General features: G+C 40.8%; 1 protein-coding gene across 1 annotated transcript; it reads left to right on the forward strand.

Annotated features, from left to right (window-relative positions):
- On the forward strand, positions 10,986-14,284 carry FAM47C (family with sequence similarity 47 member C). Its single transcript, NM_001013736.3, has one exon. It carries the CDS (start codon positions 11,031-11,033, stop codon positions 14,136-14,138), a length of 3,108 nt encoding a protein of 1,035 aa, NP_001013758.1. The 5' UTR covers positions 10,986-11,030; the 3' UTR covers positions 14,139-14,284.

Genomic DNA, 16,821 nt, shown 5'->3' on the forward strand with positions numbered 1-16,821 from the left:
CCAAAGTAGGCTATGGTCTGTATACAACTCCATTTTGGTTATACTTCACAATGTACAGAGAAACCTTTAGGCTGAACTTAAAATATATAAGGAGGCAGCTTTAGGATAAACTTGAGTTAACAGAGATAAGTTGATAACAATACATGCCTGCATTAAAACTGAAGAAATATCTCAAATAAACAATCTCAGTCTATACCTAAAGGGATTAGAAAAAGGACAAACTAAGCCCAAAGTTAACAGAAAGAAGGAAAGAACAAAGATTAGACCAGGAATACATAAAATAGAGAATAAAAACAATAGAAAAAATAAATGAAAAAAGATTTGGTGTTTTTAAAAGATCAAGAAAATTGGCAAACCTTTAGACTAAGTAAAAAAAAAAGACACAAGATACAAATAAATAAAATCAGAAAACGATGAGATGGTGTTACAACTGACGCCATGGAAATAAAAGGATTACAAGAGACTACTGTGAGCAATTATATACCAGATCCAGGACCTCTAAGTTTATCTTGGGACCTTAAGAGACAAGGATCGCCCAACTCACAGGTATTTGAGATTAAACCCATGGCTGGGCTCAGCTTTAAAAGGTCTTACCTGAGATCCCTTGGGGAATAGAGCTCCATCAAAGCCAGTCCAAAAGACCTATGTAGAAAGAATCATTCTTGCTGCACTTTATGCAAATAATCAGGCCAAGTATAAGACTAAGGTCTGTTTCAAAAACCGCCAGTCCTATGATGATTTGTTTTTTTAACAAACATGAGGACTGGAGAGAGAGAAATTATGTTCCAAAACTTATCATACATTTGTCATTAAATTCTAAATGCACTAGTTGTTTTTAAGTTTTCACTTACCTTTTAGACTAACCCTGCTTGTTCCTGTGAACCAACCAGCAATCTCTGGCTCCAGCTCAGAAAGAACAAGAGGGATGGATAATGTAAAAATCTGGATCAATATTCTAATTCTGAGCAATTATCCTGCAAATCCTGCCAGGGGATTGGAATCAATAGGATGCTCATTACTCGGAGGTTTCCTTTTGGGAAAGTAAGAACAAGCCAGCTAACCAAAGACAAACACCATGCACCCAAATCCTAGCAAGCATAACTATAGCCACCAGGTGTTTGGGTGTGTCACAGGACATCCTTTTCTCTCTCCCTTGTTGGAGGAGGACTCAGTTCCACAGTTTCACCTTAGCATTCAGCTTATGATAAGGAGTCCATGCAACACCCCCATGAGATACATTTTTGTCCCAAACTAATTCCAAGCTTTGAGTCAAAGCCCTAGGAAAGAAAACTGGATCTAAGGGATCCAGAGGCAGACGACAACGGAGGTTAAAAGGCACAGTGCACGTGAGTGTGGCTGATTCCTGCCGATTAAGCCAAGCCCAAGCTTCCTGTTTCATGGATAAAGGCCACATTAGTATCCATGGCATAAATGAGGTCTAGAGAATTCAAGGCTACCGATAGCAGGGAAGATAGGGCATACGTGGGAAGGAGCAGATGATTCCCACCCGTTCGACCCCCTGCTTCATGGGTGCAAGCCGCTTTTACACTCATGGCCACATCTGCCAAGGTTGACAGGACTTGGGGATGCAAGGACAGAAGAGGCAAAGAGGACTCTCTTCCCTGTCTCTCTCACGTACCTCGGGTATCTGTCAGGCAGAGAAGGGAACCAGGGATGCCTGCTCCCCTCTTTCTAGATGGGTAGCCATTCATCTTCAGTCTGTACCCCTTTCGAATGCATCCTGAACCCCTGGGACTCCTTTGAAAAAAAAAAGTATCTTATTTTTTCTTCTCTCCTCCTCTGTCCTCTCTTCACTAATAGGTAATTGTGTCCCTGTACTATGGAGCACTTCCCTCAGATGCATCCTCCAAACTGGAAAGAGTTAATTTCCCAAACTTTAAACTGGTTGGCTTGGGGTTAGGCTCAGGGGAGGGGGAACCGAGAAGCCCAACATACTGGCAAATGGGTGAAGTATTTTACCAGCTGGGAATTTGGTCTCCCCGTCCCCATGCAAACTGGTAAAAGGGCCTTATAAGTTTTGAGCTGTTGTTACCCTTCCCCTTGTTTCGTTTTGATACATGTTTCCTTTTTTCTTTTTTGAGGAGGAGTCTCGCACTGTTGGCCAGGCTGGAGTACAATGGCGCAATCTTGGCTCACTGCAACCTCCGCCTCCCGGGTTCACGTGATTTTCCTGACTCACCCTCCCGAGTAGCTGGGATTACAGGCACACACCACCATACCGTACTTTCTAGATGGGTAGCCATTCATCTTCAGTCTGTACCCCTTTCGAATGCATCCTGAACCCCTGGGACTCCTTTGAAAAAAAAAAAGTATCTTATTTTTTCTTCTCTCCTCCTCTGTCCTCTCTTCACTAATAGGTAATTGTGTCCCTGTACTATGGAGCACTTCCCTCAGATGCATCCTCCAAACTGGAAAGAGTTAATTTCCCAAACTTTAAACTGGTTGGCTTGGGGTTGGGCTCAGGGGAGGGGAACCCAGAAGCCCAACATGCCAGAAAAGGGTAAAATTTTTTACCAGACGGGCTTTTGGCCTTCCTGTCCCCATGCAAACTGGTAAAAGGCCTTAGAATTTTTGAGCTATCCCTACCCTTCCCCTTGTTTCGTTTTGATACATGTTTTCTAATAACCCAGTTTGTCTTGCCTTCAGGCCATCGAACTCCAAAGGGTCATGCAAACAGAGCCTCTGATGATGGCCCCTTCTGCTGGGAAGCCTTAGGCCTCTGAGGGAGATCTGATAGCCTTTTCTCCAAAACAACGCCCCGGTCAGCAGGAAGCAGTTAAGGTCGGTTTTCATCCTTATCCTTTTCCTTATTCTAACAGGAGTTAGATGTACTTCTTTAGAGGGGCGAATGAGACAGCCAGGTGGGAAGGGGCCCCCCAGGAAAACACCAACCAGCCTGCACACTGGGGTGGAGACATAGGAATTTGCGCCCTTTGCAGCAGTGAGGAGCCTGGCCCCACCTCTCCCTGTGTGGAAACTGGGATTCAAACAGCATGAGGTGGTAAGTGCACCGGCAGGAACTCTGGCCTTGCGGAGATTCCCCATTCTCCCTTTTTCCCTTTTCACTCAATAAAACCCTGCTTTGCTCACCGTTCAAACTATCTGGGAGCCTAAATTTTCGTGGCCATGGGACAGACAAGGAGCTAGTCTTTAGCTGAACTAAGGACAAGTCCTGCAACACTGAGAGCAGCTACTGGTGGCAGAGCATATGACTGTGTTGTATGTGCAGGTATTGTAACATTGCTTAGCATTCCGAAGACCTTAAATCACTGTCAAGGACTAAAAACTCCAATGATGACTGGAAATATCTGTTCCACATCCAAAATAATCTATTTAGAATTGCTTCCCTAGTTCACCAGGTCTCTATCAAATATCAGTGTTTTTAGTTCCTTCCAAATCATCACTTTGGCCTCTAATCTAATGTATTCCTGAATTATGCTGTAGAGAAAAATGCAATTTCCATTATGTCGGTCTCCCTCCTTAAGTTTTTCTTCCTCACATCAAACATCTCTAACATTTAGAAAAAGACAATAGTTTGTAAATGAATCCAGGTGCACAATTGTCCAACTCATGAAAATAACTTCCTAAATCATTATTCATTGATAAATATATTGACCAAATCAATGTAAGTATTTCAGTTGATCAGTTTGTCTACAGAGATTGTGGCTACAAAATGAAAAATCACATTCAGCTTATTCATTTGTTATAAATGTAAAAAGAGCAATGGAAATAGGAATCACGATATTCTATGCAAAACCAGAAGTCTACTTTATTTTTTCCCAGAGACACTGATGGCTGATTTTCCTAGCCATGTTATTAAATATAATTGGTTAGATTACATTCTAAATTAAACCAGTTCATTGGAGTAAACCTCTGTATGGGACACTTGGCATCATAAAGCTGTTTCACAGCTGGATGATGTAGAATAGCCTTCAGACTCTTTGTAAAGGTGTACCGTTAGATCAAATGAACACACAGGTAGTAATATTATATTAGAACTATTTCTGTAAAATCACAACTAAATTAACATTTTGTAAAAGGTTCAATAATATCTTAGAAAACTGTGGTGTGTTCACATGTGTATTGAATGCATGCATTTGCGTATACATATTAGGCTTTGATCACTAATGTTAAAACCAGCTCAACTTTGGACCTTTAGTGAATTGTGGTTTTAACATAGAATTAACAACCTGTATTTCAAAATTGAGGTAAAATGGTAACAATCTGTCTGTAAATATACTAATATTGCATATTTTTGCCTGCTCTTCCAATGTTGGACATTAGCCAGGTAAGGTGGACACTACTGAGAACATAGCTTTGAGCTGGTTATGTGTGTATGTGTACAGCACTCTGCGAATTGGTAATTCTATAAAAGATGGAAATTTTGCATTAGAAGCCAAGAAATAAGATTAAATCAGCACTAGTGGACAACTGAGATTATTGATTATTCTACATTATTCATATCCATGATATGAAGTGATTCTGGAATTATTTTGCTAGCTACTAGAAAATAAGCTAAGACTAATGACAGCTTGTTGAATGCATCTGCAAAATTCCATCAATAGGAAAGCAAGAACAGTCTTTTTTAATTAAATCAGAGAATATGACACAGTAACAGTTACCTGTCCTCTAAGTTTTATTACTTTAACAACACACAAAATTGCCAAGATTTTAGCCATTTGTGAAGTCCTCTAACTATATACTAGAGAGCGTCATTGAACCACCTGAACCACCTTATAAAATAGAGCTGCCTCTGCTCGATTATTTTCTGAATATTGCAATCTATTTATATTTGTGAATTGAAACAATGGACCAGATGATAAATATGCATATAAGGAGACAGGAATATTGTCATTTTTTCTGGAATTTATCTATACCAGAAAATAGAATGAATCTTCTAGAAATATGAAAAATACTAGCCTGACACTGTTTATTCTTACTTTTTGAGAACTCGTGTAAGTCATTTGTTCTATTTTGCCTCAAGTTCTTTATTAATAACAGTAGTGCTGGACTATATCCTGTATGAAATACTGTGATCAAATTATTATGTATCCAGGGATTTCAGCCTTTGGCTGTGAATCATTATCAATGGGAGGAATTTTGATTCTGCAGGCTCAGGGTAGAACCTTGGCATATATACTCTTAAGATGGGCCACAAATGATTCTGATATTCAACCAAGGTATGGAATAATTCTTCTATGTTTTTTGATTCAATGAACAAAATGGAAATCTTTAAGTCTATATTATTTCTTATGCCTTAACTATATTTTATACTTTGCTGAGAAAAAGTGTCAGTGGGTATAGCAGTGGTAAAATTGCTGCAGGGAGTATCATTATAAGACAAGATATGAACATTGTTACGGGTAGAAAAATGATCAAAATGAATAGTGTATTAATCAAGGTTCTCCAGAAAGATAAGAAAATATTAGGAGATATATGTGTGTGTGTGTGTGTGTGTGTGTGTGTGTATGTGTGTGTGTGTGTGTATATATATATATATATATATATGAAAATGCTCTGTACAGTCTTTGCAGCTGGTTAATAAATCAAAAATTATTCAAAAACAAAAGATTTCCAATTTAAACTATATATTGCATCATGATAAATTATCAGCAGTCTAGATGTTGCTATGGAGGTATATATAAATATATGTATACAGAGAGAGAGAGAGAGAGAGAAATTTTAAGGAATTGGTTTATGCAACTGTGGGGGTTGGCAAATCCAAAATCTGTGGACCTGGTTGTAGGTTAGAAATTCAGGCAAAAGTTGATGTTGCAGTCTTGATTCTAAAGTCTGGAAACTCAAACAGATCCGTCTTCTTGGGGGAACTTTTGTCTTTTTCCTGAAGGCCTTCAACTAACTGGATGATGCTCACCCATCCTATGGAGGGTAAATCTGATTTACTAAAAGTCTACTGATATAAAATGTTAAATGACAGCTTAAAAATACCTCCACAGCAACATCTAGACTATTTGACCGAATAATTGGGCACCATAGCCTAGCCAAGTTCACACAGAAAATTAATCATCACAGAAAGTAAACTTACCAAGAGCTAATAAAAGCAAAATAATTCCAAAGTGGGTTGGATCAGAATGAAAATGATTGGGTATCTGAAAAAGGCTGGCAGGTGCCGCATGTGGGTGGAAGAGCCAGCAAGGTTGCAGATAATGTGAGTCTGCTGGAGCATAAAAATGGTGTCCGGAGTTAAGTCTGCAGTAAATGTTGTAGGTAACTAAGAGCAGTCAGAGGCACACGAAGATGTCAGAACTGGTACTACTTAGGCTCCATTAAACCAATGCACTTCATCACATTGATTTTCATTGTTTAATTTTCTTATACACTTATTCATTACATGCTGCTCTGCTCAGAGCATTTTGACTTCCTTGAACATTTATTTATTAGCTTGTTGGTGTTCATTTTGCTTGTAAGCTACATTATTCATTTCTGGAGTAACACTTCATACTAAGGCAGTTGTTGCTTGTTGATTGAACAGGCCAGTTGTAATTTCTCTGAACTCTATAGTGATGTCAGTTTTCTTTAACCCAAGAAGGGCTGTTTGCACAAGTAAGTTGCTTTCACTCCTAGTTGTTTTTTCACTGCCAGTCAGGTACTCACCAAACTTTGTATCTTCTTTAGTCTTCTATCATGACTTCATTATCCTGTGGGTCCACCAGTTATGTACGTGTATCTAAGTGAATTATTTTGTCCACGGGCTCTACTATCTGATTTTTACATTCCCATATAGCACTTGCTGAAATTTAATTTTCTCCAAATTTGGTGACTTTGGATAATACCATAACTACTGTGGTTTTTAAACTCTTTGAAAGTCTTTGCGGCCTATAAAAAGCACAGGGCTTTAGAAAAGTAATTCTCACATATTGGTGTGTATAATTTAGAGACCATGTAAAATGTAGATGACTGGCTCCACTTTGAAAAAATTATGATTTACTATATATGAGGACAGAGGGGCCACAAGTATGCATTTTAAAGAAGCTACATCTTTCTCTCTTATATGATTAATAGTGATTTGCTGATAATTTATCATGATGCAATATATAGTTTAAATTGGAAATCTTTTGTTTTAGAATAATTTTTGATTTATGAACCAGTTGCAAAGACTGTACAGAGCATTTTCATGCACATTTTACCCAGCTTCCCCTAAAATTAATATCTTACATTGTACATGCATTTAAACTAAAAAATTAACATTGACATATTACTATTAACTAAACTTCAGACTTTATCCAGATTTGTAGATTTTTTATACCCATGTCCTTTTTCAGTGTCAGGATCCAACTCAGCCTACCACATTGAACTTAGTTTGAATGTCTCTTTGATCTAAAGTCTATGACCGGTTCTCTGCCTTTAATTTTTTCCCATGACCTTTATGATTTTGAGGAATACTTGAGAATTTTGTAAAATGTCCCTGGACTTGGGTTTGTTATATGTTTTCTCCTCATTAGACTAGGATTCTGGAATTTAGAGAAGAATGCTACAGAGATGAAGTGTCTTTCTCATCACATCCTATCAGAGTAGTGCATGATACCAATGTAATGTCTCACTGCTGATATTAACATTGATCACTTGCTTAAGGAGAGAACTGCCAGGCTTCTCCACTAAAAGGTCACTATTTTTCCCTTTCCATATTCCATTTTTTAGAATCCAGCCCACACTCTGGGGGGGGGGGCATTTAAATTCCACCTCCTGGAGGGAGGAGTATCTATGTACATTTTTTAAAATTCTTCGGGAGACAGATTTGCATCTTTTTTTTCATTTATTTATTTGTACAATCATTTATATCAGTATGGACTCATGGACATTTTATTTTATATTGTGTTATAATTTTTAAATTTTAGTTCTCATGTTGCTTAAATTGTTTTAACTTTGGGCATTGAGTGCTCTTTCAGCTTGGCTCCTGATCTGCTTTTATTCTTTTGTTTTCTGAGAACTTCCTATTTTCTTGCATTACATAATACTCCAGGCTCATCTTGTGTTTTCACTGCCCCAGGCCTAGAATTACTCATTTCTCCAAGGATGTCTCGTTTTGCTTTTGTTATTTTGGATAATTGTATTTAGAAACCAAGATCTGGGCACTGGATGTACTTTTTGCTACTTGGATGTCATTTTTTTTCTAGTTTATCAGCAGACAGAGCTATAAAATATATGCATGTATACTAACCAATATGTGCACACAACTATATTTATTTCTTTACCTATATATCTCTATACATGTTAAACTACTATGTATTATACATTTTGTTTTGTGTTCTCTGTTGTCTTATTAAGTTTTTTGTTTTGTTTTGTTTGTTTGTTTGTTTGTTTGTTTGAGGTGGAGTTTCACCCTTGTTGCCCAGGCTGGAGTGCAGTGGCGCGATCTCGGCTCACCGCAACCTCTGCCTCCCAGGTTCAAGCGATTCTCCTGCCTCAGCCTACGGAGTAGCTGGGATTACAGGCATGCGCCACCATGCCTGCCTATTTTTTCTATTTTTAGTACAGACAGGGTTTCACCGTGTTAGCCAGGATGGTCTCAATCTCCTGACCTCGTGATCCGCCCGTCTCAGCCTCCCAAATTGCTGGGATTACAGGCGTGAGCCACCGCGCCCGGCCGTCTTATTGTTAAGTTTTAATAATTATTTATGTATTCTGGATATGAGTATTTTGTATAATATTCTACTTTGTAAAGTGGAAAAAAATGAAGTGGCTGTAAAGTACAAAAACTGTTTTAATGAACAGCCACATGAAAAATTTTGAAGATGCCCAGTTGACCTTTAGGAGCTTCAATGTGTGTTTTTCTCTGGGAATATTTAGAATATAGAAGTTTTATTCAAACCCTCACCCACTTTAGATAAGTGAGAACTCATATGAGCTTGCTAGTTAGAGTACTGTTATAGAGAATTGTTGAAATATTGGCTCTTGAATTTAACATACATTCCATGGAATTTTTCCAAGTGAGAAAGTTAAAAACAAATCCATATCAAAATGGTCTTACCAACTTCACATTATGAAATCTACTAAATGTGTTGACAGTTTAACAGATTCTTATAATTGATAAATGAAAATATTTGTGACATATAAATAGATCTGTATGATTTCTGCTTCCCCTTTATTTAGACACTGAAAGTAGAATATTTTTATTTTCAAATAGTAGTAATCCTATATAAAATAACAATACTTTACTGGATGCTTATTCTGTGCCAGGCACTATACAAAATCATGTTATATAGATTATCTTGATTTACACATAAACCATTTATTAGCGTTAATGGGAAACCTAAGAGGAATATATATTGTGTCTATTTTACAGAGGAGGAGCCACAGGGAAGAGAGGCATTGATCATGCCTTATTTACAAGGAGGAACTAGGGTATACCTGCTAGTAATGGTAGAAAACATTGTTCAGCTGCACTTAACAAGGGAAATAAGAAATATTTCTTTTAAAAATGGACAAGAATGTACAGAAAAAATTATTATGTGATTAGAAAATAATATGGTTAAGGAATAATGCAAGCTGAATTTGTCTATAATTACATTTTTTATAAAAAAATCTTTTTCATAGATATAGTTTTAAACACCATAAGAGAGAGAAAAATTTCACTGATGTTATTCAAAGGAAAATCAAGGATCGCAACTGGACTGAGCAGAGGGGATGAAGATATTCAATTTGGAAAGAAAGAAGGGAAACTGTCTTTATTCACAGATGACATTATCATATATATAGAAAATTCAGTGAAATCTACAAAAATGCTCCTGAAAGTAATAAGTGAGTTTGTAAGGTTGTATGATACAAGATGGATATACAAAACTCAATATTTATATATACTAACAACAAAAAATTGGAAATTGCAATTTAAAAATACTACATATAATAGTATCAAAAGCAATATTTAGAAAAAATCTGGGGAGAAATTATGTGAAAGACATATGCACTAAAAAATACAAAATATTCCTGAGAAGATTAAAAATCACGTAAACAAATGGGAAAATGTACCTTTTTCAGTGGTCAGAAGACTTCCTATTTTTAATATGTCAATTACCCACAAATTTATCTACAGATTCAAAAGAATCCTAATTGAAATCCCAACGGAATTTTTTTTAGACATTGATAAACTGATTTTAAAGTTTCTGTAGAAATTCAAAGGACCTAGAAGAACCAACTTTGTAAATGAACATTGTTAAAGAACTAATACAGCCTAATTTCTAGGTTTATTTTAAAGTTAAAGTAATCAACAGAGGGTGAAATTTGTGTGAGAGAAAAATCTGGAAGACAAAAGAGTGCCAAGAAATTGACCCACAAAAAAATATACACAGCTGATATTCTACAAATTTCCAAAGGTAATTCAGTGGAGAAAATATAGTCTTTACTGAAATTACCAGATATACACAGGCAATAGACACATTTTTTTAAAAAGTACTTTGATCTATATCGTGTGCTGTTTACAAATCTTTAAACAAATTTAAATTTAAAAAAATCTTTGTGACCTTTGGATAGGCAAAGTTTTCACAGATACATCAAAAGAAGCACAATCTGTAAAAGAGCAAATTAATAAATTGGACTTCATCAAATAAAAAAAAACTTCTCTTTGATAGACACTGTTAAGACAATGAAAGGGAAAAGCCAACGATGAAGAGAAAAATTTGCAAATCATATAGATGATAACGGACTTAGATGTAGAACAGAACAAGAATTTTCAAAACTAAATATGATATCCAGCAACACAATTTAAAAATGGGGGAAAAATCCACAGAAACTTCAACCAAGGAGAGATAAGGATGGCAAATAAGCAAATATAGAGATGTTCAATATCAGTAGTCATTAGGAAACGCAAATGAAACCCAGAATGAGATTCTACTACACACCTGTTAGAATCTGGGCTGCGCAGGTGGCATCAGCGCTGCTCCGCCTCCAGGAAGGAACCTGGGCTGCGCGTGGCTGGCGGTCTCCTAGCGACTAGAGCGTCAGGGATCAGGAACCGCGGAAACTGGAGAGGTGGCACCCCAGCGAGGGCCACCATGGGGGACCAGAGGCCGCAGGACCGGCCCAGTTCCCCGGGCATGGACTCCACGCCCTGGTACTGTGACAAACCGCCTTCCAAGTACTTCGCGAAGCGCAAGCACAGGCGCCTGAGGTTCCCGCCTGTGGACACCCAGAACTGGGTATTTGTGACGGAGGGCATGGACGACTTCCGCTACGGCTGTCAGTCTCCTGAAGATACGCTTGTTTGTCGCCGTGACGAGTTTTTACTCCCCAAAATATCTCTCAGAGGTCCCCAAGCTGACCCCAAAAGCAGGAAGAAAAAGCTGCTCAAGAAAGCGGCCCTGTTTTCCAAGCTCTCGCCAGCACAGCCAGCACGGAAGGCGTTCGTAGAGGAAGTGGAAGCCCAGCTGATGACCAAGCATCCCTTGGCCATGTACCCCAATCTGGGAGAAGATATGCCTCCAGATCTCCTACTACAGGTACTGAAACCGCTGGACCCTGAGAGGAAGCTGGAGGACGCAGGCTCTTGTGAGGGCCAGGAGAAGACAACTGACGAACCCACGGAGCCTGGTAAATACCCCTGTGGGGAATTCTCCCCTCGGCCTCCCGAGACTCGGGTGTCCTGTCTCCCCCCGGAGCCTCCCAAGACTCCGGTGTCCAGTCTCCGCCCGGAGCCTCCAGAGACTGGAGTGTCCCATCTCCGCCCACAGCCTCCCAAGACTCAGGTGTCCAGTCTCCACCTGGAGCCTCCAGAGACTGGAGTGTCCCATCTCCGCCCAGAGCCTCCCAAGACTCAGGTGTCCAGTCTCCACCTGGAGCCTCCCGAGACTGGAGTGTCCCATCTCTACCTGGAGCCTCCTGGGACTGGAGTGTCTCATCTCTGCCCAGAGCCTCCCAAGACTCGCGTATCTCATCTCCATCGGGAGCCTCCTGAGACTGGAGTGCCTGATCTCTGCCTGGAGCCTCCCAAGTCACGCGTATCTCATCTCCGCCCAGAGCCTTCTGAGACTGGAGTGTCCCATCTCCACCCAGAGCCTCCCAAGACTCTGGTGTCCAGTCTCCACCCAGAGCCTCCCGAGACTGGAGTGTCCCATCTCTGCCCGGAACCTCCAGAGACTCGCGTATCTCCTCTCCGCCAGCTGCCTCCCGAGGCTGGAGTGTCCCATCTCTGCCCGGAACCTCCCAAGACTCGCGTACCTCCTCTCCGCCCAGAGACCCCCAAGAATGGAGTGTCTCCTCTCTTCCCGGAGCCTCCCAAGACTCGCATATCTAATCTCCGCTCGGAGCCTCCCAAGATTGGAGTGTCCCATCTCTGCCTGGAGCCTCCCAAGACTCGCGGATCTCATCTCCGCCCGGAACCTCCTGAGACTGGAGTGTCCCATCTCCGCCCAGAGCCTCCCAAGACTCGGGTGTCCAGTCTCCACCTGGAGCCTCCTGAGACTGGAGTGTCCCATCTCTGCCCGGAGCCTCCAGAGAAGGACGTATCTCATCTCCGCCCAGAGCCTCCCGACACTGGAGTGTCCCATCTCTGCCCAGAGCCCCCCAAGACACGCGTATCTCATCTCCGCCCAGAGCCTTCTGAGACTGGAGTGTCCCATCTCCGCCCAGAGCCTCCCAAGATTCTGGTGTCCAGTCTCCACCAGGCACCTCCTGAGAGTAGCGTATCTCATCTCCGCCCAGAGCCTCCTGAGACTGGAGTGTCCCATCTCCGCCCAGAGCCTCCCAAGACTCGGATGTACAGTCTCCGCCCGGAGCCTCCCGATACTGGAGTGTCCCATCTCTGCCCAGAGCCTCCCAAGACTCGGGTGTCCAGTCTCCCCCCGGAGCCCCCCGAGACTGGAGTGTCCCATCTCTGCCCGGAGCCTCCAGAGACTCGCGTATCTCATCTCCGCCCAGAGCCTCCTGAGACTGGAGTGTCCCATCTCCGCCCAGAGCCTCCCAAGACTCGGATGTACAGTCTCCGCCCGGAGCCTCCCAATACTGGAGTGTCCCATCTCTGCCCAGAGCCTCCCAAGACTCGGGTGTCCAGTCTCCCCCCGGAGCCCCCCGAGACTGGAGTGTCCCATCTCTGCCCGGAGCCTCCAGAGACTCGCGTATCTCATCTCCGCCCAGAGCCTCCTGAGACTGGAGTGTCCCGTCTCCACCCAGAGCCTCCCAAGACTCGGGTGTCCAGTCTCCACGCGGAGCCTCCTGAGAGTCGCGTATCTCATCTCTGCCCGGAGCCTCCTGAGACTGGAGTGTCCCATCTCCGCCCAGAGCCTCCCAAGCCTCGGGTTTCCAGTCTCCGCCCAGAGCCTCTTGAGACTCGCGTATCTCATCTCCGCCCGGAGCCTCCTGAGACTGGAGTGTCCCATCTCCACCCAGAGCTTCCCAAGCCTCGGGTATCCAGTCTCCACCTGGAGCCTCCCAAGACTCGTCGAGTGTCCAGTCTCCGCCTGGAGCCTCCCAAGACTGGTCGGGTGTCCAGTCTCTGCCCGGAGCCTACCAAGACCGGAGCGTCCCATCTAAAAGAACTGTTTCAGGAAGGTACATCAAGCACAATGGAGTGTGTTTCTGACTCTCTTCAACGTAGACACACATCGAGAAAACTCCGTGACTTCAAGTGGGCTGGAGACCTAGGAGTTAATGAAGAATCCATCAGCAGTCTGTTTGACTTTACCCCTGAGTGCAGAGCAACCTATCAAGACCAAAAGAATAAGAAGGCAAACGAGTGTTCCTCAGGGCTGAAGTACAGCATGGAGCTAGACGAAATGGATGAGGTCAAATTCTTCTCACAGGAAAAAGACTTGGACGGGAAAATCCAGAATGCACCAAATTCTCATAGTGCACAGCATGTGAAGATGGGGTATGGAGCATGGTACCTCAAGCCTAAGTTGGGGAAAAAGCTAAGAAGTGATGAACCTTTGATTGACCCCAAGCTCGTACTTGAAAAGCCTGATGAACCCGACATTCTTGACGGTCTTTATGGACCAATCGCCTTTAAGGATTTCATTCTAAGCAAGGGCTATGAAATGCCTGGCATCATTCAAAGGCTGTTTGCCAGGAGGGGATGGACTTATGACTCTGTTAAGACTCCTATTCAACGTGCAATGCAAGTTTACAAGTACAAAGAAGACGTCACAGATGCATCGGAAGAAGATTAGATGGTTTTGAATTTACTAGTTAATTGGGTATTTCTTGCTCTCATTTTAAACATCAGTCAGAATTTATGATGACTGGCCCCAGGAATGTACAACGTTGGCAACATCTGTAAATTCAATACCTAATGTTTATAAATATTTCTTAATGACCTGCTTTGGCTTCATTACTTCATATATTTTATCATTTATATGATTAATATTCACATATACTTTTTTCACACTTTTGAAGCATTGTGAATATTACATCATCATTTCAATTATTTGTAAAAATACATACAACCAGAAACAAAAGCAGAATTAATCTTAGAAAGAGAAATGGGGTCGGGTGCGTTGACTCACACCTGTAATCCCTCCCGCCTTTGGGAGGCCCAGATGGGTGGATTGCTTGAGCCCAGGAGTTCAAGAGCAGCCTGGGCAACATGGTGAAACCTGGTCTCTACAAAAAAATGCAAAAATTAGCCAGGCATGGTGGCATGCACGTGTAGTTCCAGCTACCTGGGGGGCTGAGGTGGGAGGATGGCTTCATGCCACCACACAGCAGTCTCGGCGACAGAGCAAGACCCTGTCTCAAAAAACAAACAAACAAACCAAATTTGCTGAGTGAAAGGATAATTCTATAACTCTTCTTATATGAAAATTCTAATGAAATAATTATGACAATTATTTTATTACTATAGCCAAAATAATGTTAACACTTTTTAATAGTAAAATTGTTATCTTCCCCCTTGTGATTCCATCAACCCCCCAAAACAAGTTTGAAAACTATTTATCAAAATCATAGTTGAAACTTGAGTTATGCCATTTTGTCATATCTCTCAATAGAATGTATGTATTTCACCATGTTCATAAACCTTCACAACAAAATACTATTACCAAATCATATAAACAAGTGCAGAATAGGAGGTAGCTTCAACTCCCTGGCAAATCTCATGTGCAAAATAGGATCTGTATGAGAAAAGCTACCAAGCAACATCAAATATCCTTACATATCTGTTCAAGTTAAAATAATTTTCATTTCATTCATAGCAATTTAAAATGCACTCATAAGTTTAAAATGATAAATCAAGCATCTGCTTTACCTTTCAAAAATAGCAGGTAAAACTGTCTGATATAGGTAAATTTGTAGGTAAATATATTTGTAGTGTAGATCTGAAGTGCACTTTTTCTTTCAGTGACGAAAGTGTCCATCTGTAAATGGATGTATATGCATATATTTCATCCAACTAAGCAGTGATATATAGATCTGTGTATGTGCAAATTCTGTTTCTAGTGAAGTTTGTCTTGTGGGTATTATGTTCCTGAAGAACCAAGTATTTTCTATGTTGTTTTCTAAGCCAAGGCCTAGAATTTCTCTTCAAATTCATCATCATAAACTTAGGTTCATGTCACCACTATCTCTTATTGTATTTCTGCAACGGTTTCCAACCTGTGTCTCTTCTCGAGTATATTTTTGCAAAATACAAGCATGGCTTGTTAATTCTCCAGGCTCATCTAAACTTATCTAGGTACATAAACACTCACACACACATGCACACACACACACTCACATGCTCCTGCATTCCAGACTCCAGTTAATATTCCTTTTCTTACCTCTGTGTGTTTCTTGTGTCTTTGTACATAATCTTCTCTACTGTTAGGACTTCACTCAGGCCATGTAATCCTGTTTCAGTGCTTTCCTCATCGAGGTCAATTTCATGATTACTTTTATTAAGATCTTATATCTGTAGACAAGGACCCACATTTTCCAGCTGTCTTCCACTGAAGAACTTACATCAGTATCCTAGAGAAATGAGTCATTAATGCCTTCAAAATAAGGGAAAATCCCATACTTATTTATTACAACTTCTGAGAGGCCAATACCATGCCTTATGGCTCAGAGTTATCTGGTTTCTGAGGTTCTCCACTGAAGCCTTGGGCTTCATGCAGCAGCATTCAATGTTCAGTTCCTTTCAGCAAGAGACAGACCTACTTTTTCACATTTGGTTGTGTGACCTTGAGCTTCATGGAGGATGTATCCTCATTTACACAATGGACACCATATCATCAAACTCAAATTCTGGTGAGACTTAATTACTTATTGGAGTGCCTAATGCCTCAGGCATCACAGAATTAATACAAAACCTGCATTTGTGGAAGAGAAGGAGGGAGTTGGAAAGGAAGAAGGGTACTAAAAATATCACAACAGAAATACACTATACAAACATAACTTTTTGATGGTGTTTATCTGGTGATAGCCTTCACCTATATCACACACAATCTTAGCCATTGCTTAACATGAAAAAGTAGGGCTTGCTTTGGCTGCACATATACTAACATTAAGATGAAAAAGTGTAAATGCAAAATAAGAGCCACTGGTTATGGTTTCTATTGCTTCTTGGTAATGGCTACTTCCAGGAAAATAAACTTTCCTCACAGAAATTATGTGGGTTTCTCTACACTGTAATTACACACATTGGTATTAGTTGTCATACAGATATAAACAGAAACAATGTTTGATCTATTTGGATTTTTAACACCAGTTGGACTTCTGAAAACATCCTGACTTCAAATCCATAGGTTTTAGAAAGAGAGAGAATTCAAGAGAGCTTGATATGTAACTGTGCCTGTGTAGCCTAAAGCTATGAATGGTATATTCCATAAATACTGTAGTAATCAATTGTATTACAGCATCACATAGGTTTCACAA

Source organism: Homo sapiens, chromosome X (genome assembly GCF_000001405.40).
Source record: "Homo sapiens chromosome X, GRCh38.p14 Primary Assembly".
Lineage (NCBI taxonomy): Eukaryota > Metazoa > Chordata > Mammalia > Primates > Hominidae > Homo > Homo sapiens.

Coding starts and splice junctions, on each gene's coding strand:
- FAM47C (NM_001013736.3), top strand. CDS start 11,031: ATGGGGGACCAGAGGCCGCAGGACCGGCCCAGTTCCCCGGGCATGGAC.